Source organism: Homo sapiens, chromosome 12 (assembly GCF_000001405.40).
Source record: "Homo sapiens chromosome 12, GRCh38.p14 Primary Assembly".
Classification (NCBI taxonomy): domain Eukaryota; kingdom Metazoa; phylum Chordata; class Mammalia; order Primates; family Hominidae; genus Homo; species Homo sapiens.
The window spans coordinates 122,935,926-122,960,759 of record NC_000012.12 but is presented as its reverse complement, the minus strand read 5'-3'; the positions used below and the strand labels follow the sequence as shown (position 1 = coordinate 122,960,759).

Genomic DNA, 24,834 nt, shown 5'->3' with positions numbered 1-24,834 from the left:
AGATGGAGTCTCGCTCTGTCACCCAGCTAAATTTTGTATTTTTAGTAGAGATGGGGGTTTCACCATGTTGGCCAGGCTGGTCTTCAACTCCTGACCTCAGGTGATCCACCTACCTCGGCCTCCCAAAGTGCTGGGATTACAGGCGTGAGCCCATTTCCTTATTATCTGTCTCCTGCATGAGTATGTCATCTCCAGGAGAGCAGGGATCTTTGTTCTTTTTGTTCATGACAAAGAACAAAGAACAGCACCTGGCCGCAGTGGGCACTCAGTAAGTATCCCTTGAATGAGTGGAATCTTAGTACCCGGGAAGTTGATATTGCCATTTTACAGATGAGAAAACTAAGGCTCAGAGATGTCAAGTGACTTTCTCAAGGTCACACAGCCAGCGAGTGGCAAACCTGAACCCCTTGTGCTGATGTTTGCTGTTGTCCCTACAGGCCTGGCCTCGCCCTGTGGATGATGATGGCCTTGCCCCCGTGAGCTACAACCTGGCCTTCAGCACCCGCCCACCTCCAACCAGCAGGATGCGGCTGTGGAAGGCGGTGGTGGTGACTTTGGCCTTCATGAGTGTGGACATCTGCGTGACCACGGCCATCTATGTCTTCAGCCACCTGGACCGCAGCCTCCTGGAGGACATCCGCCACTTCAACATCTTTGACTCGGTGCTGGATCTCTGGGCAGCCTGCCTGTACCGCAGCTGCCTGCTGCTGGGAGCCACCATTGGTGTGGCCAAGAACAGTGCGCTGGGGCCCCGGCGGCTGCGGGCCTCGTGGCTGGTCATCACCCTCGTGTGCCTCTTCGTGGGCATCTATGCCATGGTGAAGCTGCTGCTCTTCTCAGAGGTGCGCAGGCCCATCCGGGACCCCTGGTTTTGGGCCCTGTTCGTGTGGACGTACATTTCACTCGGCGCATCCTTCCTGCTCTGGTGGCTGCTGTCCACCGTGCGGCCAGGCACCCAGGCCCTGGAGCCAGGGGCGGCCACCGAGGCTGAGGGCTTCCCTGGGAGCGGCCGGCCACCGCCCGAGCAGGCGTCTGGGGCCACGCTGCAGAAGCTGCTCTCCTACACCAAGCCCGACGTGGCCTTCCTCGTGGCCGCCTCCTTCTTCCTCATCGTGGCAGCTCTGGGTAAGTAAGGACCTCGGGGACATGTGGCCACCAGAACATCAAATTAGGTGGATATGACTGCCTTAGATTTTAAAAGATTTTACTTACGTGGTTCAGACATCAAATTGATATGAAAAGGAAAAGAGGCCAGGCATAGTGGCTCATATCTATAATCCCAGCACTTTGGGAGGCTGAGGTAGGAAGATCACTTGAGCCCAGGAGTTGAAAACCAGCCTGGGCAACATAGCGAGAACCCATTTCTATTTTATTTATTTATTTATTTATTGTATTTATTTATTTTTTCGAAACATAGTATTGCTCTGTCACCTAGGCTAGAGTGCAGTGGCACAATCTCAGGTCACTGCAACCTCTGCCTCCCAGCTTCAAGTGATTCTCCTGCCTCAGCCTCTCAAGTAGCTGGGACTACAGGCATATGCCACCACACCCAACTAATTTTTGTATTTTTAGTAGAAACAGGTTTTCGCCATGTTGGCCAGGCTGGTCTTGAACTCCTGACCTCAGGTGATCCACTGGCCTCGGCCTCCCAAAGTGCTGGGATTACAGGCGTGAGCCACGGTGCCTGCCCCATTTCTATTTTATGTAATTTAAAACGAAAAAATAGGCCAGGCGCGGTGGCTCACGCCTGTAATCCCAGCACTTTGGGAGGCCAAGGTGGGAAGATTGCCTGAGCCCAGGAGTTCAAGACCAGCCTGGGCAATATGACAAGACCCCATCTCAATTTAAAAAAGGAAAAAGTAAAAGACAAGAGAAGAAAAAGGAAACTATGAGTTCCACTCCTGTTTTTTTCTTTTTTTAGACAGGGTCTCACTCTGTTGCCCAGGCTGTAGTGCAGTGGCATGATCACAGCTTACGGCAGCTTCAACCTCCCAGGCTCAAGTAATCCCCCCACCTCAGTCTTCCAAATAGCTGGGACTACAGGGGCGTGCACCACACCCAGCTAATTAAAAAAAGAAAAATTTGTAAAGATAGGATCTCACTATGTTGTCCAGGCTGATCTCGAACTCCTGGGCTCAAGTGATCCTCCCACCTTGGCCTCTCAAAGCACTGGGATTACAGGCGCAAGCCACAATGCCTGGCTGTGTTTCACTTCTAATTCTACCCTGATCATTCTGCCCAGGGCTAACTGCAGGAAAAGGACCCAGAAACTCCCAGGTGGCCAGGAAAGCATTCTTTCTTACTCAATTCTTGTGCATGTTCCCAGCTTTTCCTTATGCAGCTACAAGCACATCAAAAGAACATGCATCACTCCCCCACCTCTCACCCACATTGTTTTATGTTTTGCTCTTTTCACTTAACAATATGTTCTGGAATTTTTCCAACCAGTACCTCATTGTTTTATTTGGCTTCATAATATTCCATTGTGCGGCTATACCATAGATTATTTAGTTGGTCTCCCATCATTTGACTCTTGGGTTATTTTGAGCCTTTTCCTCTTAACATGAATTTTTTTTTTTTTTTTTTTTTTGAGATGGAGTCTTGCTCTGTCACCCAGGCTGGAATGCAGTGGTGCGATCTTGGCTCACCGCAACCTCCATCTCCTGGGTTCAAGCGATTCTCCTGCCTCAGCCACCCAAGCAGCTGGGATTACAGGCGCCTGCCACCACGTCTGGCTAATTTTTGTATTTTTAGTAGAGACAGGGTTTCACCATGTTGGCCAGGCTAGTCTCAAACTCCTGAGTTCAAGCGATCTGCCTGCCTTGGCCTCCCAAGGTGCTGGGATTACAGGCATGAGCCACTGCGCCCGACCTGCACGTCAATAATTCTGTTCATACACATTTCATATGAATGTGGATGGATCTGTAGAATAAATTCCTGGAGCTGGGATCATCAGAGAATAGACTAGAAAACATCAGAGTGGGCAGGCATGGTGGCTCATGCCTGTAATCCCAGCGCTTTGGGAGGCCGAGGCAGGCAGATAACGAAAAAAAAAAAAAACTCTCAGCAGTTTGAGACCAAAAAAAAAAAAAAAAGATATTAATATTTTAGTTGTGTGTGCCTACGTGCAGGTGTGGCCTGGTTTGTGACATGAAATGTATTTGTGCCTGTGAGTCTGGTCCAAACAGTTTGAAGGCACCACTCAGCAACATGGGTGGGAAGGTGGCACTGCATGGTTGGAGCTCACAGGTTCTGGGGGCAACGAGGCCTGGGCACAAATCCCTGTCCTGCTCCCTACCCAGCCGAGTGGCCCTGCGTAAGTTCTCCAGCCTTTCTGAGCCTCACTTCCCTCCTCTGTGCAACAAGGATTGTTGGAGTCCTTATTTCCTGACATTTTAGATGCTGAAAAGAACGGGAGAGCTGGGTGCAGTGGCTCATGTCTAATCCCAGCACTTTGGGAGACCAAGGCTACAGGATCACTTGAGCCCAGGAGTTTGAGACCACTCTGGGCAACACAGCAGGACCCTGTCTCTAAAAGAAATGTTTTTTTAATTAGCTGGGCATGGTGGTACTTGCCTATAGTCCCAGCTACTCAGGAGGCTAAGGTGGGAGGATCCCTTGAGCTCAGGAGCTTGAGTTATAGTGAGCCATGATGACGCCACTGCCCTCCAGCCCGGGCAACAGAGCAAGACCTGTCTCTACCAAAGAAAAAAAAAAAAATAGGAGAAGGACTAAGTACAGAGCTTGGCTTGTCATGGTAAGTGCTCAGGGTTGTTAGCTATTATGAGTTTTAAAAATTTTAAGCTGGGCGCGGTGGCTCATGCCTGTAATCCCAACACTTTGGGAGGCCGAGGTGGGCAGATCACTTGAGGTCAGGAGTTTGAGACGAGCCTGGCCAACATGGTGAAACCCCGTCTCTGCTAAAAGATATATAAATATTAGCCGGGCACAGTGGCTCATGCCTATAATCCCAGCACTTTGGGAGGCCGAGGCAAGTGGATCACCTGAGGTCAGGAGTTCGAGACCAGCCTGGCAACATGGTGAAACCCCATGTCTACTAAAAATATAAAACTTAGCCAGATGTGCTGGCATACGCCTGTAATTCCAGCTATTTGGGAGGCTGAGGCAGGAGAATTGCTTGAACCTGGGAGGCAGAGGTTGCAGTGAGCCAAGCTCACACAACTGCACTCCAGCCTGAGTGACAAAGTGAGACTCCATCTCAAAAAACATAAATAATAAAATAGTAAAATAAAAATGTTAACTGACAGAGACAGAGCCTAGAGAGGTGACAATGCAATAACAATGCCAGAATGTTCTGAGAGAGGACAGGCAAACCCAGAGCTGGCCCTGACTCTGCAGCCCTGTACTCCTACGATCTACCTCTGCCCTCTCAGTCCCATCTCCTCAACATCTGTGTGAGGTTAGGCAAGTTATTTAACCCCTCTAAGTCTTAGCCTCCTCTTCTGTGACATGGGCATAGTAGTACCCCTCCAATGGGGTTGGAAAGGTCAGTGAATCCACATGGGTGAGACACCTTGGACAGCTCCTGGCACATAGACACCTCCCAGTAATACTAGCAGGTGTGAGGACTGGGATGACCCCTTCCCATTAAACCAGGCAGTTTCTCCTGGCTCATGCTGGGCGGCCCAAAAGTCCCCTCCTTAGGAAGCCACCTTAGATTCTGCCAACTGTGGTAACTTTGTCTGCACCTCAGTTATAGCTTTTATGACATAAAAATCATATGTTCAGGCTGGGTACGGTGGCTCACACCTATAATCCCAGAACTCTGGGGAGCTGAGGCCTGCAGATCACCTGAGGTTAGGAGTTCGAGACTAGCCTGGACAATATGGCAAAACCCCGTCTCTACTAAAACTACAAAAATTAGCTGGGCATGGTGGCAGCCGCCTGTAATCCCAGCTACTCAGAAGGCTGATGCAGGAGGATATCTTGAACCCAGGAGGTGGAGGCTGCAGTTAGCTGGGATTGTGCCACAGCACTCCAGCCTAGGCAACAAAGTGAGACTCCGTCTCAAAAAAAAAAAAAACAAAAAAACAAAAACCCAAAAAACTATGCATTTATGCTGGGCACAGTGGCTCATGCCTACAATGCCAGTACTTTGGGAGTCTGAGGCAGGAGGATCACTTGAGGCCAGGAGTTCAAGACCAGTCTGGCCAACATAGCAAGACCCTGTTATGTATGCATTCACCCTCCTGCCTCCCCTCCCAGGTCCTGAGCCCCTCAGGGGCAGGGGCCAGGTCTGACTCACCCTGGATCCCAGTAGCTGGCACAGAGATGGGCTCACTGAATGAATAAATGAACAAAAGTATGAATGACTGTCATGCCTGTGCAGACAGATGGTGCCCCATGCCATGACCTTGTTTACCCGACCTGCTGGGGCCCTGCCGTCAGCTGCTGTGTGGTCGGGGAATGCAGACATCCTTAAATACTGCTGAGCAGATTTTCCCGGCTTGCAGGATTGCATCAAGAGTCAGGGCGCAGACTCGAGGCTCAGGCTCCCGACTTCACTGATAACTTTAGGCAAGTTATTAACCTGGCCAACGCTCACTTGACCATTCTGAAGTGAGGGCTTTCTTGGGGTACTGTGAGAAAGAAGTGAGAGGAAGCTTGGTGCCTAGCACAAGTAAATACTTAATCAGTGTTAGGGCCAGGTGCAATGCCATGTACCTGTGACCGCAGCTACTTGGGTGGCCAAGGAGGGAGGGTTGCTTTGGCTTAGGAGTTTGAGACCAACCTGGGCAACATAGCGAGACCCCATCTCAAAAAAGACAATTAGGTACTGTGATTATTAATAATTATTTTTCAATCAACAAGCATTCAGCAGTGCCCAGCTTTTCTGTACCCTCAGAATCTTAAAACAAACAAACAAAAACAAAAAACAAAAAACCACCCATTGGGAAATGTTAGTTTTAGGGTTGAGTATCTCTTATTAAATTAAGGTTCTTTAGAGGCCAAGTGCAGCAGCTCACACCTATAATCCCAGCACTTTGGAAGGCTGAGGTGGGCAGATCACTTGAGGTCAGGAGTTCAAGACTAGCTTGGCCAACATGGTGAAACTCCGTCTCTACTAAAAATACAAAAATCAGCCGGGCGTGGTGGCACACGCCTGTAATCCCAGCTGCTCAGAAGGCTGAGGCAGGAGAATTGCTTGAACCTGGGAGGTGGAGGTTGCAGTGAGCTGATATCGTGCCACTGCACTCCAGCCTGGGTGACGGAATGAGACTCTGTCTCAAAAAATAAAAAATAGGCCGGGCACGGTGGCTCACACCTGTAATCTCAGCAAGGGGGGGCAGATCACCTGAGGTCAGGAGTTCGAGACCAGCCTGACCAACATGGAGAAACCCCGTCTCTACTAAAAATACAAAATTAGCTAGGTGTGGTGGCGCATGCCTGTAATCCCAGCTACTCGGGAGGCTGAGGCAGGAGAATCGCTTGAACCCAGGAGGCAGAGGTTGCTGTGAGTGGAGATCGCACCATTGCATCGCAGCCTGGGCAACAAGAGTGAAACTCCGTCTCAAAAAAAATAAAAAAAATACATAAAAAACAAATGGAGTCCTTTTTTTTTTTTTTGAGGCAGGGCCTCCCTCTGTCACCCAGGCTGGATGGAGTACAGTGGAGTGATCACAGCGACTTCAGCCTTGACCTCTCCAGCTCAAGTGATCCTCCCACCTCGGCCTCCCAAAGTGCTGGGATTGCAGGTGTGAGCTACCTTCTGTAGCCTAAGATTCTTTAATATGGATTTCATGGCAAACCAAATGTATAAACTTGGGCAAGTGACTTAATCTCTCTGAGCCTCAGTTTCCTCTTTTGTGTAAAGAATACATTTCCACAAATGGAAGGAATAATTGTACCAAACCTATAGGATTACTGGGTGGCCTTTGAGACTTAAGAAGGTAGGGGAGCAGATATCTGGGGTAAGTGGCTGGGTGTGGTGGCTCACACCTGTAATCCCAGCATTTTGGAAGGCCGAGGCGGGCAGATCACTTGAGGTCAAGAGTTCAAGACCAGCCTGGGCAACATGGTGAAACCCTGTCTCTAATAAAAATATAAAATTTAGGCCAGGTGCGATGGCTCATGCCTGTAATCCCAGCACTTTGGGAGGCCAAGGCAGGTGGATCACGAGGTCAGGAGTTCAAGATCAGCCAGGCCAACATGGTGAAACCCCATCTCTACTAAAAATACAAAAATTAGCCAGGTGCAATGGCAGGTGTCTGTAATCCCAGCTACTCGGGAGGCTGAGGCAGGACAATCACTTGAACCCAGGTGGCAGAGGTTACAGCGAGCTGAAATCGTGCCAATACACTCCAGCCTGGGCGACGGAGTGCGACTCCATCTCAAAATATATATATACATATATAAAATTTAGCCGGGTGTGATGGCGGTCACCTGTAATCTCAGCTACTTGGGAGGCTGAGGCATGAGAATCACTTGAACCCAGGAAGTGGAGGTTGCAGTGAGCTGAGATCATGCCACTGCACTCCAGCCTGGGTAACAGACTGAGACTCCATCTCAAAAAAAAAAAAAAATGTATGTGGTAAGAGCACTCCAGGCAGAAGGACTAGCCCATGCAAAGGTCCTGAGGCAGGAAGGTGCCCAGTTGTTCAAGAGCAGACACCAGTTAGCTGGAGCAGAGGGAGTGAGATGGGGCGGGGAGAAGACAAAGGTCTCTGCTAGCGGCTCAATCATGCAGGTCCTTGTGGGCTATTGTAAAGACTTTGGCTTTTACCATCTCACTGGATGAGAAGGGGGATTTGGACTGTTTTGAGCCAAGGAGCAACAAGATCTGAAGTTAGTTCCAACAGGATCCTGCCTTCTACTGTGTGGACAGGCTGATGTGAGCAAAGTTGAGAGCAGGCTACTGAGATAGTCCCAGTGAGGTTAATGACTTGGACCAGGGTTGGGGCAGTAGAGGCAGTGAAAGTGGTCAGGTTCTGGAAATGGTCTGAGTATTTGCTGGTGCATTGGAGAGTTTCACGTAATTCTTGTGCAGATTCAGCAAGAGAGTTTGCCGGCATGCTTTGCACAGCCCCTGGTACCCAGTAAGGCGATTATTAGCATTGGTGCTTGCTGGAATCAGATATTCCAGAATATTCTGTCACAGCTCATCGTTGCCCTCTTCTTTTCTGTGGGTAAACTGAGGCAGAAACTCAGGCTGGGTGGAACTCTGCAGCCTCAGCTGGAGACCTCGTCTGGCCAAGGACTGTGGGGACACAGGCCCTCTAGGCTGCCACCTCATGGTCCCAGCAGAGGGCACCAGAACTGCACAGAAAGTCTCACTACCCAAGTGTCTGAGCCAGGCCAGACTGTGCTAGCCAGACCTGCCCGGGGTTCATTCACTGACCTTTATTGAGCACCTACTGTATGCCCAGCCCCAAACCTGGCTCTGCTCATGGAAAGAACTTCAGTGGAAACAGGTCCTGGGATGAACAAGGGCCTGGCCTGGCCTGGTGATGCCACTATTTCCTTAAGAGGAGAGTGGACATTCCGGATTATTGTCGGGGGAGTCTCATTTCTGCTGCTGTAACAAAATACCACAGACTGGGTCATTTAGAAACCATAGAAACTGATTTCGTACTGTTCTAGAGGCTGGGAAGTCCCAGATCAAGGTGCCAGCAGGTTTGGTGTCGTGAGGGCCACTCTCTGCTTCCAAGATGGTCCCTCCTTGCTGTGTCCTCTGGAGGGGAAGACTGCTGTGTCCTCACGCTGCAGAAGGTGGAAGGGCGAGAGATGGCAAACCAGGCTTACAAGCCCTTTGAAAAGGGCCCTCATCCCATCCTGGAGAGCTCTGCCCTATCACATTGGCGATTATGTTTCAATATGTAAATTTTGGGAGATGCATTCAGACCACAGGAGGAAGGGAAAAGAAAGAGCCCCCAGGTTGAAAGCCAGTTTAGGTTTGAGTCCCAGCCTTTCCCCTTGCTGTGTGACCTGGAGTAAATTCCTCAGCCTCTGTGAGTCTCCCATTCCACCCCAGGATTGTTGTGAAAACACAGTAAGGCAAGCGGGTAAGAAAGCACCCAGCAAGGTGTCAAGTGCCCCACCAGGAGGGGTGGGGTGGCAATTTCCAGCATTGCTTGGAACCAGAATAGCAACGTCTTCTGAGGTTCCAGAATTTGGACTCTGAACCCATTGAGAAGAATGAAATCAACTTTGGCGTCAATCAGCCACTGATTGCCATGTGGCCTGGACGAGTCATCTCATTCAACTTCACTTTCAGCCGGACGCTGTGACTCAGGCCTGTAACCCCAGCACTTTGGGAAGCTGAGGTGGGTGGATCGCTTGAGCCCAGGAGTTAGAGACCAGCCTGGGCAACCTAGCGAAACCTCGTCTCTACAAAAAAATACAAAAAATTAGCTAGGCCTGGTGGCGTGTGCCTGTAGTCCCGGCTACTCAGGAGTCTGAGGTGGGAAGATCCACTGAGCCCAGGAGGTTGAGGCTGCACTCCAGCCTGGGCGACAGGAGTGAAACCCTGTCTCAAAAAGTTAAAAAAAAAAAAAAAAAGGAAAATATTTTAGAAAAAGAAAAACAAATTAATTTTTCTCATTTGTAAAATGGGGGTGATTCCAGGGCCTGCTCCAAAGGGAATGAAACAAAGTTCAGGAGCGGTGGCTCATACCTATAATCCCAGTACTTTGGGAGGCCAAGGTAGGAGGATTGCTTCAACCCAGGAGGTTGAGACCAGCTTGGGCCACATAGTGAGACCCCTGTCTCTACAAAAAAAAAAAAAAAAAAATTAGCCTGGCATGGTGGCACATGCCTGTATTCCCTACTCAGGAGGCTGAGACAGGAGGATCACCTGAGCCCAGGAGTTTGATGCTGCAGTGAGCTATGATTACACCACTGCACTCCAGCCCGGGGGACACAGCGAGACCCTGTCTCAAAAAACAAGAGAATGAAGCATCCTGCAGGAGCCCTGGCTCGATGCCTGGTAGCCACTATAAATAAAGAAGAACCAGCAGGCTGTGTGGATGCAAGGCCCAGTGCTCCCCTGTTCTCTGAGGAGGGGGGCATTAAGCACCCTGGGGCCCCACGATGGGCAGCAAGAGTTTGCCGAGGGAGGAAAGCCCACCGGTGGAGTGGGCAGAGGGGTTGGTGTGTGGACTTCTGGAGCCTCAGGAGGAAGGGTGCGGGTTCCCCTGGCTGCAGACGTCCCTGAGGCTGCCCTGCCTCCCCCAGGAGAGACCTTCCTGCCCTACTACACGGGCCGCGCCATTGATGGCATCGTCATCCAGAAAAGCATGGATCAGTTCAGCACGGCTGTCGTCATCGTGTGCCTGCTGGCCATTGGCAGGTAGCTGGCTCAACCCCCACGCCCTGCCCCGCACACCCCGACCTGCACCAGGGAGGGAAGGGAGGGCCTGTTCCTAAGGAAGACAGGGGCCAGGGAGGCCCTGGAAATGCCCCTGGTGGGCCTGTCCCTCAGCTGGTCACCCTGGGAACCGGCTTCCACACTGTCTTAGAGCACCCTAGAACCACACCCTCTGGTCCCTGAAAAGGGCTTCAGTCCTCAGGGTTCCCTGCTCACCCTCCCTGGCTGTTTTCCAAGTAGGAATCTGGTCCCAAACAGAACCGGCTTTGTCTGAGCTGTTCTGGAAGGAAGAGGGTCTGGCTGGCACATTTGGGTCTCTTGTCCCACAACTGTCCCCTTTGCCCTCACCTTGAGGGGGGCTCCCACTGGGAATGAGGGGGACCCCGCAGGGATGCCAGCCCTGGAGTGGGGCTGCGGTGGGGCTCCCAGGCCTGCCGGCAGCGGGAGGGGGCAGCCGGGTGTGGTCACTGGTCTGGAAGGACATCGTGCTATAATATCTCTTATCTGCAATTAGCTCATTTGCCGCAGGTATTCGGGGCGGCATTTTTACCCTCATATTTGCCAGACTGAACATTCGCCTTCGAAACTGTCTCTTCCGCTCACTGGTGTCCCAGGAGACAAGCTTCTTTGATGAGAACCGCACAGGTTGGTCCTTCCAGTGCCCTAGGTGTCCTGGGGGCTGGGCCCCACCCCTGTGGGCTTGCCTGGCACTGAGGAATGAAATGGGCGTGTGGGTGGTCTCAGCCCTCTGTCTTCTCCTCCTGCTGTTAGTTCAGGCTGGGAACACCCTGGGCTTGGCCTGTGTCCTGGGAGCTGGCTTGCTCACTGAGGTTTTGGTGTGGGCTGCGGCCTCTGTGGGGCCCAGGCCAGGCCACCCGAGGTCCCTGCAGGAGCCAAGGCCTTGCTTTCCATTGCCCCATGGAAACCACCAGGTCCAGGACTACCCACGCCTGTGGCCGACAGAGACCCTGCTCCCATGGGGGTCAGCAGGTGAGGGCCAGGGGCCACAACGGGGAAGACGATAGAATATCCACCAAGATCCAAGCTCTGAGAGACACCGGCCTGGGTCGAAGCCCTGGTTCCTCCACTCACGAACTTCACCTCTCTGATCCTCTGTTTTCTTGTCTGTAAAATGGGAACACGGATAGTAGCCACCCCATGGGGTCCTTACACAGCTCTTAGCACAATGTCCAACTTAGGTAAGAAGTGTCTGCGCTTTCCTGCCCGCCACCAGCCAGGTTGTTATTTCCCTAGAAGGGAAGAGGAGTTACCCCCTCTGCCAGTGACAGGGAGGAGACATGGGTTTGAAGTCTGGCTCAGTCACGGACAGGCTGTGTGACTCTACGGGGGCCTTCCTGTTCTGAGCCCCAGCCTCCTCCGCTGTACAGCGGGATGTCATGAAGCTTAAGCAAGATGCTGATGACTGGGATTGGCTCAGAGTAGCCCTCGAGGGGTATCTGCTCTTCTCCCCCACCCCCCAACCCCGCCCACAGGTAGGGAGGCCCGGCTTCCCAGTGTCTGTCTCAGAGGCCCCTTAGCATCCCCCACCGCCACCCCCAAGGCCCGGGTTGCTGTGGTGAGAGCTGAGCCGCGTGTGTTCCAGGGGACCTCATCTCCCGCCTGACCTCGGACACCACCATGGTCAGCGACCTGGTCTCCCAGAACATCAATGTCTTCCTGCGGAACACAGTCAAGGTCACGGGCGTGGTGGTCTTCATGTTCAGCCTCTCATGGCAGCTCTCCTTGGTCACCTTCATGGGCTTCCCCATCATCATGATGGTGTCCAACATCTACGGCAAGTACTACAAGGTAGGCCTGCCCTGTCTCTGCTGGGGACTGTGCACCCTGGCAGCCCCCAAACATCCCCTTAGGAGGGGCTCAGGGGGCCACTAAGGGCTAGTGAAGGACAGGTCTTGAGGCTGTGTTTGCATTCATTCATTCATTTCTTCGCTCATTCAATAAATAATTATTGACCACCTGCTATGTCCCAGGCACTGGGATACATCAGTGAAAAAGACAAGGCCCCTGCCTTCCTGGAACTTGTATCTAGTGTCAGAGACAGATACTAGGTACCAACAGCATAAAGAATGAGAATCCACAATACAGTAAAAGATGGTCAGTGCTAAGGAGAAACATGAAGTGAGCAGAGGGATTGGGAGCATTGGGTGTAGCTGCAATTTTAAATTGGATTTACTGGCTGGGCCCGGTGGCTCATGCCTGTAATCCCAGAACTTTGGGAGGCACAGGCAGGAGGACCACTTGAGCCTAGGAGTTCGAGACAAGATTGGACAATATAGCAAGACCCCATCTCTACAAAAAAAAATTTTTTTTAGTTAGCTGGGCTTGGTGGCGCATGCCTGTGGTCCCAGCTACCTGGGATGCTGAGGTGGAGGATCGCCTGAGCCCAGGAGGTCGAGGCTGTAGTGAGCAATGATCGTGCCACTATACTCTAGCCTGGGTGACACAGCAAGACCCTGTCTCTAAAATGAATGAATAAATACAAGTTAAATAGGTCTTGCTGAGAAGGGGACATCTGAATAAGGGTCTGAAGGAGGCGGGCATCTTGGGAGGTATGTGCTGAGCAGAGGGCACAGCCAGTGAAAAGGCCCTGGGTTGGAACGTGCCTGGTGTGTATGTGGGGGTGGTGCGGGCCCGCTGTGATGCCATCGCGGGCCCGCTGTGATGCCATCATGGGCAGGCTGCTGTCCCCTCTGGCCACCCCACGGCACTGCTTCTGCTTCCGAGCTAGGGCCGTGAGCCAGGTTTGACCTCACCCTCCTCCTGCTTCCTGAATGGGCGGGTGCCCCCGAGCCCTAAGGGACAGACAGGCTGGGTTCAGACAGGCAGGGCTGTGACCCTGTGACAGGTACAGGCAACCCCCTCACAGTCACCCAGGCCCACGTGGGGTACTTCTAGAGCAGGGGCTTGGATGCATGACGGCCTCCAGGTGGTGCCGGGTAAGTCATTGTCGCAGCTCCATTGGAGCCTTTGGTGTTGGTGACCTGAGACCAGGGTAGCAAAGGAAGCCATCTCCCACCCAGCCCCCGGTGAGGCCACTCCCCACAGTCTTCTCCAGCCACACAGGTAGGACCTCTTCCCGAAGTTCCTGGTCACGAGCCTCCCCACCGTCCTCACTGAGATGAGAAAGTAAATCTATTCTTTAGAGTCTGAGCCATTTCTGGCACGCTGCTCCCCACCCCTTGCTTCCGGCCTTCCCACCAGCCCCTGGGATGGAGCAAGAAACCCTGGAGCTCCCCCTCAGCCCCCACCTCTGTGTGCACTGCAGGCCCTGCCTTTTAGTTCAGCTAAGGGAGGCCTCAGGAAGGCTCTGTTTGGGTTTTCCACCCCATGCCTGAATGTGTTGTGTGTAGCCAGCGAGTCATCTCCACAAACCACACACACCGCCCATGGCCAAACATGACTCAGGCACCCTGCATGCTTCCTGCGGCTGGGGCGTGACACATGGTCATGGGACATGCCAGTGCATGCTCCTGTCCTGGACTCTCAGGCAGCCTTCCTGGCTGGCTTGAGAATCAGCATAGTGACTCCTGCAAAGTGTGAACAGCTCCACCCAGGGGCCTCTTCCAGGACTCTGGTGAACAGCAGCCTGATGGCCGCACACTTGGGACCACTTTTCAGCTCTGCCTGTGGTGACATGCACATGGTGTGGGCAGATTTCACAACCCATGGCCCCTGCCACCATGTAGAACTTGGCTGGGAGTTCTGGAATCTCTTTATCAACCCTCAGGCTCTAACATAATTTATGTTGATGATGTAAATGGTGCCCCTTTAATAGTTGGTGTTTCTTAAATAGTGTACAACCTGAACAACCGTCCAAGGCATCCCCTGCTCTTCCAGCACAGGGTCAGGTGTTGAGGCCCCTTTTCTGAAAGGATTACCAAAAACTGTCCAGTCATGAATAGCCTCTTTTGAATACTGGGGATGACTTAACGATCAGCACCGTGCCCTATCCTTCAGGAGCTGAAACCATTGCCCCAAGAGCCTCTCTGGAGTTGACTACCTGAGTGTGTCAAATTGAGCCAGAAGGGGATGGGGGAGAAAGGGCTAGATCTTGTCTTTTTGTCCTAGGAACCTCTTGCATATAGCTGGTGCCAGCGAAGGGTGGAAAAACCCAGAGAGGCCTGGGGGCTCCAGTACATAGTGAGGCTGTTTTGGGGTCTTCTCCTTCTTGTCCCCCTCCTGTCCATAGAGGCTCTCCAAAGAGGTCCAGAATGCCCTGGCCAGAGCGAGCAACACGGCGGAGGAGACCATCAGTGCCATGAAGACTGTCCGGAGCTTCGCCAATGAGGAGGAGGAGGCAGAGGTGTACCTGCGGAAGCTGCAGCAGGTGTACAAGCTGAACAGGAAGGAGGCAGCTGCCTACATGTACTACGTCTGGGGCAGCGGGGTACGTGCCCCTGGCCAGGCAGCTCTGGCTGTGGAGGGATGGGATGCAAAGATGGGGGAAGCCCTCGATCTAGGACATCAGTCCTGCATGTTGGTGTCAAGCTGGTGGAGAATCTGTCTGTCTTTCTTTTTTTTTTTTTTTTTTTTTGAGACAGAGCCTCACTCTGTCACCCAGGCTGGAGTGCAGTGGCACCATCTCAGCTCACTGCAACCTCCGCCTCCTGGGTTCAAGCGATTCTCCTGCCTCAGCCTCCTGCATAGCTGGGACCACAGGCGCCCGCCACCATGCCTGGCTAATTTTTGTATTTTTGGTAGAGACGGGGTTTCACTATCTTGGCCAGGCTGGTCTCGAACTCCTGAGCTCAGGTGATCCACCCGCATCAGCCTCCCAAAGTGCTGGGATTACAGGCGTGAGCCACCGCGCCCTGCTGAGAATCTTTCCCAGAAGCAAGGCTGCCCCTCTCCCAGTCACCTGACGTGGGGTGGCAGGGTGGGAGCTTTCTTTTCCCAGCTGGGGAAACATCCTTGCTGAGGTGGGGAGTCAGCAGGTCCCTAGGCCACTTTCGGGCAGGTCTCATGTCACAGCCACACACACTCCCGACAGTGTCTGGCACACTCCCGGGAGTGCGTCACAGCCTCTCCTTGGAGGATGGGGAGCACTTGGATCATGTCACTGCTACACTGGACACACATGGGAGGTGGGCAGGTCAGGGCATAGCTGCGGAGGAATGAGGAGGGTTTGGAGTGAGAGGGAGGAGGGAGCTGGTGGTCTACAGGGGAGCCAGGGGAAAGAGGATATCTGGGACTTCCTGGTGCTGCCACCTCCCAAAAGTATCAGCCAAGGAGGAGAGGAGGGGCTAAGGTCCAGCTCAGCTAGCTGAGCCTCTTAGCAATCCGTCTGCTGGCAGGGGGTGCCTTTGCAGCTTCCACCAAGGCACGGTGGTCCAGACAGCAGCCTAGTTCTGGCTGGGCATGAGGAGGACAGATGGAGTCCCTGACTAGGGTGTGGGCTGCCATGGGTACTCAGACTCCACTCCCTTCCCAGATGCCCCCCAGGCACAGGAGGAAGGCATGGGCGCTCCCATCACAGCCCCTTCTTCACGGAACCCCACTGGGGGAGGAGACAGAGAGCTCACTGTGTGACCTTAGCCAGGGCACTTGCCCTCTCTGAGTCATGCTCTTCCCCATGAGGAGGACGAATAGTTCCCAGGTGGCCAAGCTGAGGAGCCTGGGGGTGGCATGTGTGTGCCAGGACCTCACAAAGAAAGCCTTGTTCTGTGGCCAAGCCCACAGCCTGCTCCAGCTGGAGGCCTCTGTAGGGAAATGCTCGGGGCAGGGGAAGGCATGAGTGACAAGCCTTGGAAGACACCCCTGCCAACGGCCGGCATTTCAGTTTGTGGCTGGGTCTGCCCTCACCTCCCCCTGCAGCCTGGGATGGGTCAGGGAATGGGGATGGTGGGGGATCTAAGGTCCCCTCGACCCACATCCCCTCTCCCTCTGCCCCAGCTCACACTGCTGGTGGTCCAGGTCAGCATCCTCTACTACGGGGGCCACCTTGTCATCTCAGGCCAGATGACCAGCGGCAACCTCATCGCCTTCATCATCTACGAGTTTGTCCTGGGAGATTGTATGGAGGTGAGAGGCCAGTGTGTCCGGGGATCCAGAGAGAAGGGAGGAGTTTGGGGAAGAGGGATCTTAACAGGGTGGGGGCGGGGCTCCAGGGACTCTGACAATGTGGTATTTCTCTCTAAGGTAAGTAGGGGAGACAGCATGATCATATCAAGAATGATAATACTAGGCAGGGCGTGGTGGCTCACGCCTATAATCCCAGAACTTTGGGAGGCGGAGGCGGGTGGATCACTTGAGGTCAGGAGTTCGAGACCAGCCTGGCCAACATGGTGAAACCCCATCTCTACTGAAAACACAAAAATTAGCCAAGCGTGTTGGTGGGTACCTGTAATCCCAGCTACTTGAGAGGAGAATTGCTTGAACCCTGGAGGCAGAGGTTGCAGTGAGCTGAGATCGCACCACTGTACTCCAGCCTGGGTGACAGAGCGAGACTCCGTCTTGATAAATAAATAGGCAAGCCGAGTATGGTGGCATGTGCCTGTAATCCCAGGTCCTCAGGAGGCTGAGGCTAGAGAATCGCTTGAGCCTGGGAGGTCAAGGCCGCAGTGAGCCGTGATCACGCCACTGCACTCCAGGCTGGACGACAGAGAGAGACCGTGTCTCAAAAAGAAAGAAAGGGCCAGGTGCGGTGGCTCACACCTCAGGAGGCCGAGGCAGGAGAATCGCTTGAACCCGGGAGGCAGAGGTTACAGTGAGCCAAGATCGCGCCACTGCACTCCAGCCTGGGCAACCAAAGCGAAACTCCATCTCAAAAAAAAAAGAAAGAAAGAATGATAATACTACCAACAAGTGACAGCAACACCCTTTAGGGACAGAGGTGATTTCAGAAAATGGTCTTAACAGCTCTGTGAGAAATTGAAGTGATGAAAAGAAAACTGAACCTGAGCGGTGGAGTGACTCGTCCATCACATTTGCTCGGGAACGGGGCTCAGGGCCAGCCGGGCCTGACTTCCTCCCAGCCTACTTCCAGCGTAGTGCCTCGGAAATGCAAGGGTGTTTTAGATTGTCTTGATTTTGGTTTCCGCACAAGCAGATCCTGAGACAGAATTGGCGTGCAACGGATTTGTTTGGGAGGTGATCTCAGGAAACGGGGGTGGGAGTGGAAAGTGAGACGTGGAAGGAAGGAAGTCAGCAGAGTGAGTTGTGGAGCCAGTTACCAGTGTGGGCAACTGAGGTGGGATCCTTCTAGCGGACAGGGTAGGACACCAGCACCAGAGTCATCCCATCTGAGGGCCAGGGAGCTGGGGTGTTTACACCCAAGCTGCCATCAGCCATTGCTCAAGGTCAGCCTGGAGTGAGGGTGTTAATTCTCTTGTCTGCCTCGCTCCCACAAAAAAGCCCGCAGCCCGCAGGCAGTAAGAGATTGGGCCTTTGTGTGCTGCGCTGACAAAGGCTCAAGGATGTTGGTGGGGTGTTCCTAGCATCTGCTACTCAGGCCATTGCATCTGCTGGAGAATCACACCTGCCATATTATTTGACTCAGCAGTAAATCTGCCCCTAGGAATCCATGCTTCAAGAGTACTCACAGCAGTGGGCGAAGATGTATGTCCAGAGATGTTCAGTGCAGTGTTGTTTATTTATTATCATTACTATTTGAGACAGTCTCACATTGTCACCCAGGCTGGGGTGCAGTGGTGCTTTCATGACTCACTGCAGCCTTGACCTCCTGGACTCAAGTGATCTTCCCACCTTAGCCACTTGAGTAGCTGGGGTTACAGTCACATGCCACCACACCCAGCTAATGTTTTTCTTTTTAGGTTTTTTTTTTTTTTTTTTTTGAGATGGAGTCTTGCTCTGTCGCCCAGGCTGGAGTACAGTGGTGCAATCTTGGCTCACCGCAACCCCTGCCTCCCGGGTTCAAGCTATTCTCCTGCCTCATCCTCCCCAGTAGCTGGGACTACAGGCATGCACCACCATGCCCAGCTAATTTTTGTACTTTTAGTACAAAATTTAGTACAAAATTGTATTTTCAGTAGAAATGGGGTTGCACCATGTTGGCCAGGCTGATCTCGAACTTCTGACCTCAAATGATCCGCCTGCCTCCGCCTCCCAAAGTGCTGGGATTACAGGTGTGAGCCACTGTGCCCGGCCAGCTCTGGGGTTTTAGGTGTTTACTACCGGCTGTTGCTGTTGTCTTCACAGTAACAGGACACAGATGCCGATATCACCCCCTTATCACCAATGAGGACATTCAGCACCTAAGAGCCTGAACTCAGGAGACAGATGGGCCTGGATTCAAATCCTGGCTCTGCCACTTCTAGGCTCTGTGACCTGGGCCAAGTTACTTGAGCCCTCTGTGCCTGAGATTCCTCATCAGTAAAAAAGGAGATAATGTTAGAACCTACCTCCTAACATACAGAGCATGCTTGGCCGGACGCAGTGGCCCACACCTGTAATCCCAGCACTTTGGGAGGCTGAGGCAGGCGGATTCCTTGAGCTCAGAAGTTCGAGACCAGCCTGGGCAACATGGTGCAACCCCATTTCTACTGAAAATACAAAAAATTAACTGGGCTTAGTAGTGGCTCATGCCTGTGGTCCCAGCTACTCAGGAGTCTGAGGTTGGAGAATTGCTTGAACCCGGGAGGCAGAAGTTGCAGTGAGCAAGATCACACCACTGCACTCCAGCCTGGGTAACAGAGTGAGACCCTCCTCTCAAAAAAAATAAATAGAGAATACTTAAGAAAATGGGCCGTTATTATGATTTACATTCATATTCTATGTATTTTTACCCAAGGAGAATATATTTATTTATAGTACACATTAAGACCCATTTTGAAAATTGAAATCAAGCCATGTCTGGTGACTCATGCCTGTAATCCCAGCACTTTGGGAGGGTGAGGTGGGCGGATCACTTAAGGTCAGGAGTTTGAGACCAGCCTGGCCAGTGTGGTGAAACCCTGTCTCTACTAAAAATACAAATATTATCTGGGCGTGGTGGCGAGTACCTGTAATCCCAGCTACTCTGGAGGCTGAGGCAGGAGAATCACTTGACTTGGGAGGCGGAGGGTGCAGTGAGCCAAGATTGCACCAATGCACTCCAGCCTGGGCGACAGAGGGAGACTCCATCTTAAAAAAAAAAAAAAAAAGCTATGCTATCGCAATTGAAAGATCAAGGCTGGATTCCCACTGTGCCACACCCCTGCCGGTTCCTTCGCTTCCATCTGCTCCTGTGGGGATGATGGCACCCACTCAGCTGGATGGCCGGTAGAGTGCTAGTGATGCTGCTGTCCTCAGCTCCCCTTACTGTCGTTATCTAATGCACCAGTGGGTGGTCAGGTGGCCTCCTGCATCTCCCCGCCAGAACTCCTTGCTTTCCCTATACCTGCCTCCTCTCTAGTAGCAGGGGTGGGTCCCAGGAGTCGGGTATCGGTGGGACAGGAACGCGTGTCTCCTCTCCCCAGTCCGTGGGCTCCGTCTACAGTGGCCTGATGCAGGGAGTGGGGGCTGCTGAGAAGGTGTTCGAGTTCATCGACCGGCAGCCGACCATGGTGCACGATGGCAGCTTGGCCCCCGACCACCTGGAGGGCCGGGTGGACTTTGAGAATGTGACCTTCACCTACCGCACTCGGCCCCACACCCAGGTCCTGCAGGTGAGGGCGCGGCTTGAGGCCTGCCAGAATCAGCCTTTCCGTCACCCCATTTCTGGTGCACCTCCTATACACCAGGCTGTGGCAGGGCAGCTGGGAATATGTCAGGCAAGATCATTGCCCTCCAGGAGTTTTGGGCTCCAGTTGGGGAAGACAGATACTTAACAGAATGATTCCCGATAATAAGTGCTAGAAAGAAAATAGATCAGGGTGCTGTGGTAGGGATGGTCCATGGGAATGGTGGTAACAGTCAAGAAGGGGTTCTTGGAGGAGGTGACATTTGAGGTGAGACCTCACCAGGGGCCTCCCTGCAGAGAGAACATTCCAGACAGAGGAAACAGCAAATCTCAAGGTGCTTCCAAGTCCTAGTGTCTTAGAAAGAACGTTTAGGGGCCAGCAGTGCCCAAGCGAGGGAGAGGCACATGGGGTGGGCTGGGAAGGGCACCCACCTGTGTCCAAGGTCAGGGCATCCAGTCCTGGGACCTGAGCCGATAACCCCGCACTGTGCCTGTGTGTTCTTTGCAGAATGTCTCCTTCAGCCTGTCCCCCGGCAAGGTGACGGCCCTGGTGGGGCCCTCGGGCAGTGGGAAGAGCTCCTGTGTCAACATCCTGGAGAACTTCTACCCCCTGGAGGGGGGCCGGGTGCTGCTGGACGGCAAGCCCATCAGCGCCTACGACCACAAGTACTTGCACCGTGTGGTATGTGCACGGGCCTGGGCCACACTTCTCCGCCCTTTCTGCATCTAACCGTCTTTCTTGTGAGCTGTAACAGGTGCGGAAGAGGGCACTAGAGATAAATGGACAGTTCAAAGAATTATCACCAATTACAATGCCCTCCTAGAGAAACAGAACATTCTTGTCCAGACGTGGTGGCTCACACCTGTAATCCCAGCATTTTGGGAAGCTGAGGCTGGAGGATCCCTTGAGGCCAGCCTGGACAACATAGTGAGACTCCGTCTCTATTAAAAAAGAAAAAAAGGGCAGATGTGATGGCCCACACCTGTAATCCCAGCACTTTGGGAGGCCAAGGCAGGTGGACTGCTTGAGCTCAGGAGTTCAAGACCAGCATGGCCAACATGGCGAAACCCCATCTCTACTAAAAATACAAAAATTAGCCGGGTGTGGTGGCACATGCCTGTAATCTCAGCTCCTCAGGAGGCTGAGGCACGAGAATCACTTGAACCCGGGAGGTAGAGGTTGCAGTGAGCCGAGACTGGGCCACTGCACTGCAGCCTGGGCAACAGAATAAGACTCTGTCTCATGAAAAAAAAGAAATAGAACATTCTGGCACTCCAGAAGCCTCCTACCCCCCGCCATGTGTCCCTTCTCTTTCCCCAAGAAGTAATGTGTTGACTTTTAGAGTCTTCATGCTCTTGCTTTTCATTGGTTCTGCCATCTCTGTGTGCACCCCTGAGCTCTGTGCTGCCTGCTCGGAACTTCATCTGGGTAGAATCGTGATTGGTGTGTGGATTAGTTTGTGTCTTGTGTCTCCCACTCGACATTGTGAGTCATCCAGGTTGAGGCTGGGGACAGAGTTCATTCATTTTCATTGCTGGGTGGTAACCCACTATACATATGTTTATCACAATTATTTATGCATTCTGGGTATTTGGGTTGTTTCCCTTTATTTTTGTTTTTTGAGATGAGTCTTGCTCTGTTGCCCAAGCTGGAGTGCAGTGGTGAGATCTCAGCTCACTGCAGCCTCCGCCTCCCGGGTTCAAGCTATTCTCCTATCTCAGCCCCCCTAGTAGCTGGGATTACAGGAGTGCGTCACCATGCCTGACTAATTTTTGTATTTTTAGTACAGACAGGGTTTCACCGTGTTGCCCAGGCTGGTCTCGAACCCTTGACCTCAGGTGATCAGCCTGCCTTGGCCTCCCAAAGTGTTGGGTTTATAGGCGTGAGCCACCGTGCCTCGCTGGGTTGTTTCCCTTTATATTTTATTTTATTTATTTGTTTATTTTTATTTTTATTTTTTTTTGGAGACAGAGTCTCGCTCTGTCGCCCAGGCTGGAGTGCAGTGGCACGATCTCGGCTCATTGCAAGCTCCACCTCCCGGGTTCACGCCATTCTCCTGCCTCAGTCTCCTGAGTAGCTGGGACTACAGGTGCACACCACAACGCCTGGCTAATTTTTTGTATTTTTAGTAGAGACGGCATTTCACCATGTTAGCCAGGATGGTCTCGATCTCCTGACCTCGTGATCCACCCGCCTCGGCCTCCCAAAGTGCTGGGATTACAGGCATGAGCCACTGCACCTGGCCTATTTTTATTTTTTTGAGAAAGGGTCTCCCTCTGTTGCCCAGGCTGGAGTGCAGTGGCACAGTCACAACTTACTGCAGCCTCAGAGTCCTGTGCTCAAGTCATCCTCCCACCTCAGCCTCCCAAGTAGCTGGGACTGCAGGCACATGCCATTATGCCCAGCTAATTTTATTTTTTTGTAGAAATGTGGTCTCACCATGTTGCCCAGGCTGATCTCAAACACCTGGCCTCAAGTGATCCTCCTGCCTCAGCCTCCCAAAGTGCTGGGATGACAGGTGTGAGCCTCTGCCCCCGGCCTGTTTTTCAGTTTTGTTTTGTTTTGTTTTGTTTTACCATTACCAAAAATACCAGTGTGGGATGTGGACAATTTTGTCTATGTTTTCTGTTGTACATGAGTACGTTCTCCCAAGGTATAATCCTAAGAGTAGAAAGCTTGGTGATAGTGGATGTACATCCCCAACTGCCGTAGTTTCTGTCACAACAGCTATCCCCAGGTGGTTATACCAATTTACATTTTACAATTTACATTCTACTAGCAGTGAAGGAGAGTTTCAGCTGTTCCACATTTAGGTCATCTCCAGTACTCAAAATAGGCTATTCATGACTGGACAGTTTTTAGTAATCCTTTCAGGAAAGGAACCATAACACCTGTCCCTGTGCTGGCCTAAGAGCAGGGATGCCCTGGATGGTTGCTCAGGTTGTGCACTGTCCAAGAAATATAAACTATTAAGGGAGCACCGTTTACATCATCAACATAAATTATGTGAAAGCCTGAGTGTTGGCACAGAGATTCCAGAACTCCTAGCCAAGTTCGAGATGGTGGTGAGGGCCATGGGTTGTGAAATCTGCCCACACCATGTGCATGTAACCAGAGGTAGATTGTTGTGAAATGGTGCCAAGTGGGAGGCCACCAGGCTGCTGCTCACCAAAGTTTTAGAAGAGCCCCCTGGGCAGAGCCGTTCACACTTTGCAGTAGGTACCACGCTTCGATTCTCAGACACCTAACATTGTCAGTCCTGAATTTTTGCTAACTGGTGAGAATGTAGTGGTAGCTTATTGTGGTCTTTTGTGTTTTCCTGATGACTGAAGATATTAAACACCTTTTCATATATTGGCCATTTGGTTTTCCTTCATGAATAGCCTCTCTTAATTATTTATTTATGTACTTTTTCTTTTCTTTTTTTTTTTTTAAGATGGAGTCTCGCTCTGTCGCACAGGCTAGAGTGCTGTGGCATGATCTCGGCTCACTGCAACTTCTTCCTCCTGGGTTCAAGCGATTCTCCTGCCTCAGCTTCCCAAGTAGCTGGGACTACAGGCACATACCACCACACCCGGCTAATTTTTTGTAGTTTTAGTAGAGACAAGGTTTCACCATGTTGGCCAGGCTGGTCTCGAACTCCTGACCTCAAGTGATCCACCCGCCTTGGCCTCCCAAAATGCTGGGAGTGAGCCATGGCGCCTGGACTATTTATGTACTTTTTGTTTGAGATAGGATCTCACTCTGTCACCCAGGCTGGAATGTGGTGGTGTGATCATGGTTCACTGCAGCCACGACCTCCTGGGCTCAAGCAATCCTCCCACATCAGCCTCCTGAGGGACTATAGGTGCACACCACCACATCTGGTCAATTTTTTTTTTTTTTTTGAGATGGAGTTTTGCTCTTGTTGCCCAGGCTGGAGTACAATGGCACGATCTCAGCTCACCACATCCTCCGCCTCGAGGGGTCAAGTGATTCTCCTGCCTCATCCTCTTGAGTAGCTGGGATTACAGGCATGCACCACCACACCCAGCTAATTTTTTATTTTTAGTAGAGACAGAGTTTCTCCATGTTGGTCAGGCTGGTCTCAAACTCTTGACCTCAGGTGATCCGCCCACCTCGGCCTCCCAAAGTGCTAGGATTACAGGCATGAGCCACCGTGTACACCTGGCCAATTTTTAATTATTTTGTAGAGACGGGTTCTCACTGTGTTGCTCAGGCTGATCTCAAACTCCTGGGCTCAAGCCATCCTCCCACCTTAGCCTCCCAAACTGTTGGTGTTACAGGTGTGAACCACCATGGCTGGCCTCTATTTTTAAATTTAAAATGTTAATTTCTATAAACATAAAACAATAAAATGCTACAAGCTAATCATATTCTCATAGTTGTAATGAATCTTGTAACTAAGACATGAATGTTCCCCTCCACCTTACCTTTTGAATTCCACCACATGGAGGTAGCCAGTGTTAACAGTTTAGTAAATATCCTTTTCAATGTGTTTCCTATCTTTATAGAAATATATCAATATATGAAGGTACACGTTTATAATTTTTTTAAACAAAAATAGAATCATGCTGTGTATATGTATCTATTACAATTCAGTTTTAAGGATGCACTGTCACTATTTAACCAATCCCCATTTATGGACACCTAGATTGTTTCCATTTTAATTTAATTAATTAACTAATTAACTTTTGCTACTTATGGTGTTGCAATGATATCTTCCATACTATATATTTTTTTCATTTTGTAGATATGGGGTCTTTCTGTGTTGCCCAGGCTGGTCTTGAACTCCTAGACTAAAGCCATTCTCCTGCCTCTGCCTCCCTAAGTGCTGGGATTACAGGCATGAGCCACCAGGCCTGG

At 51.8% G+C, this 24,834-nt stretch overlaps 1 protein-coding gene across 18 annotated transcripts in view, besides 5 other annotated features; it reads left to right on the top strand.

The window, feature by feature from the left end:
* Window positions 1-24,834, top strand: part of ABCB9 (ATP binding cassette subfamily B member 9) — a 56,505-nt gene that overhangs the window by 14,355 nt on the left and 17,316 nt on the right. For 9 of the 18 annotated variants that reach the window (XR_007063061.1, XR_001748645.3, XR_429086.5 and 6 more), the window contains 8 exons: window positions 438-1,125; window positions 10,195-10,309; window positions 10,842-10,972; window positions 11,931-12,136; window positions 14,538-14,735; window positions 16,241-16,369; window positions 19,765-19,953; window positions 20,476-20,649. Coding sequence is in view for 11 of the 18 variants with exons in the window: in NM_001243014.2 (NP_001229943.1) it covers window positions 525-1,125; window positions 10,195-10,309; window positions 10,842-10,972; window positions 11,931-12,136; window positions 14,538-14,735; window positions 16,241-16,369; window positions 19,765-19,953; window positions 20,476-20,649 (1,743 nt within the window). In the remaining 7 variants the exon portion in view is untranslated. Of the gene's footprint in view, window positions 1-437; window positions 1,126-5,155; window positions 9,285-10,194; window positions 10,310-10,841; window positions 10,973-11,930; window positions 12,137-14,537; window positions 14,736-16,240; window positions 16,370-19,764; window positions 19,954-20,475; window positions 20,650-24,834 lie in introns of those variants that run through there. The other 9 variants (XR_007063062.1, NM_001438398.1, NM_019624.4 and 6 more) reach the window with 4 other exon arrangements.
* Window positions 13,401-14,149: an enhancer, noted in NCBI's record as "H3K4me1 hESC enhancer chr12:123431158-123431906 (GRCh37/hg19 assembly coordinates)". NCBI's record gives its function as "activates a minimal SCP1, AML or CMV promoter by ChIP-STARR-seq in naive H9 embryonic stem cells {active_cell/tissue: H9 hESC(naive)}" and the evidence as "EXISTENCE:reporter gene assay evidence [ECO:0000049][PMID:30033119]".
* Window positions 13,479-13,538: an enhancer, noted in NCBI's record as "active region_7246". NCBI's record gives its function as "activates an Ori minimal core promoter by ATAC-STARR-seq in GM12878 lymphoblastoid cells {active_cell/tissue: GM12878}" and the evidence as "EXISTENCE:reporter gene assay evidence [ECO:0000049][PMID:35858748]".
* Window positions 13,609-13,878: an enhancer, noted in NCBI's record as "active region_7245". NCBI's record gives its function as "activates an Ori minimal core promoter by ATAC-STARR-seq in GM12878 lymphoblastoid cells {active_cell/tissue: GM12878}" and the evidence as "EXISTENCE:reporter gene assay evidence [ECO:0000049][PMID:35858748]".
* Window positions 14,780-15,589: an enhancer, noted in NCBI's record as "H3K4me1 hESC enhancer chr12:123429718-123430527 (GRCh37/hg19 assembly coordinates)". NCBI's record gives its function as "activates a minimal SCP1, AML or CMV promoter by ChIP-STARR-seq in primed H9 embryonic stem cells {active_cell/tissue: H9 hESC(primed)}" and the evidence as "EXISTENCE:reporter gene assay evidence [ECO:0000049][PMID:30033119]".
* Window positions 20,250-21,105: an enhancer, noted in NCBI's record as "H3K4me1 hESC enhancer chr12:123424202-123425057 (GRCh37/hg19 assembly coordinates)". NCBI's record gives its function as "activates a minimal SCP1, AML or CMV promoter by ChIP-STARR-seq in primed H9 embryonic stem cells {active_cell/tissue: H9 hESC(primed)}" and the evidence as "EXISTENCE:reporter gene assay evidence [ECO:0000049][PMID:30033119]".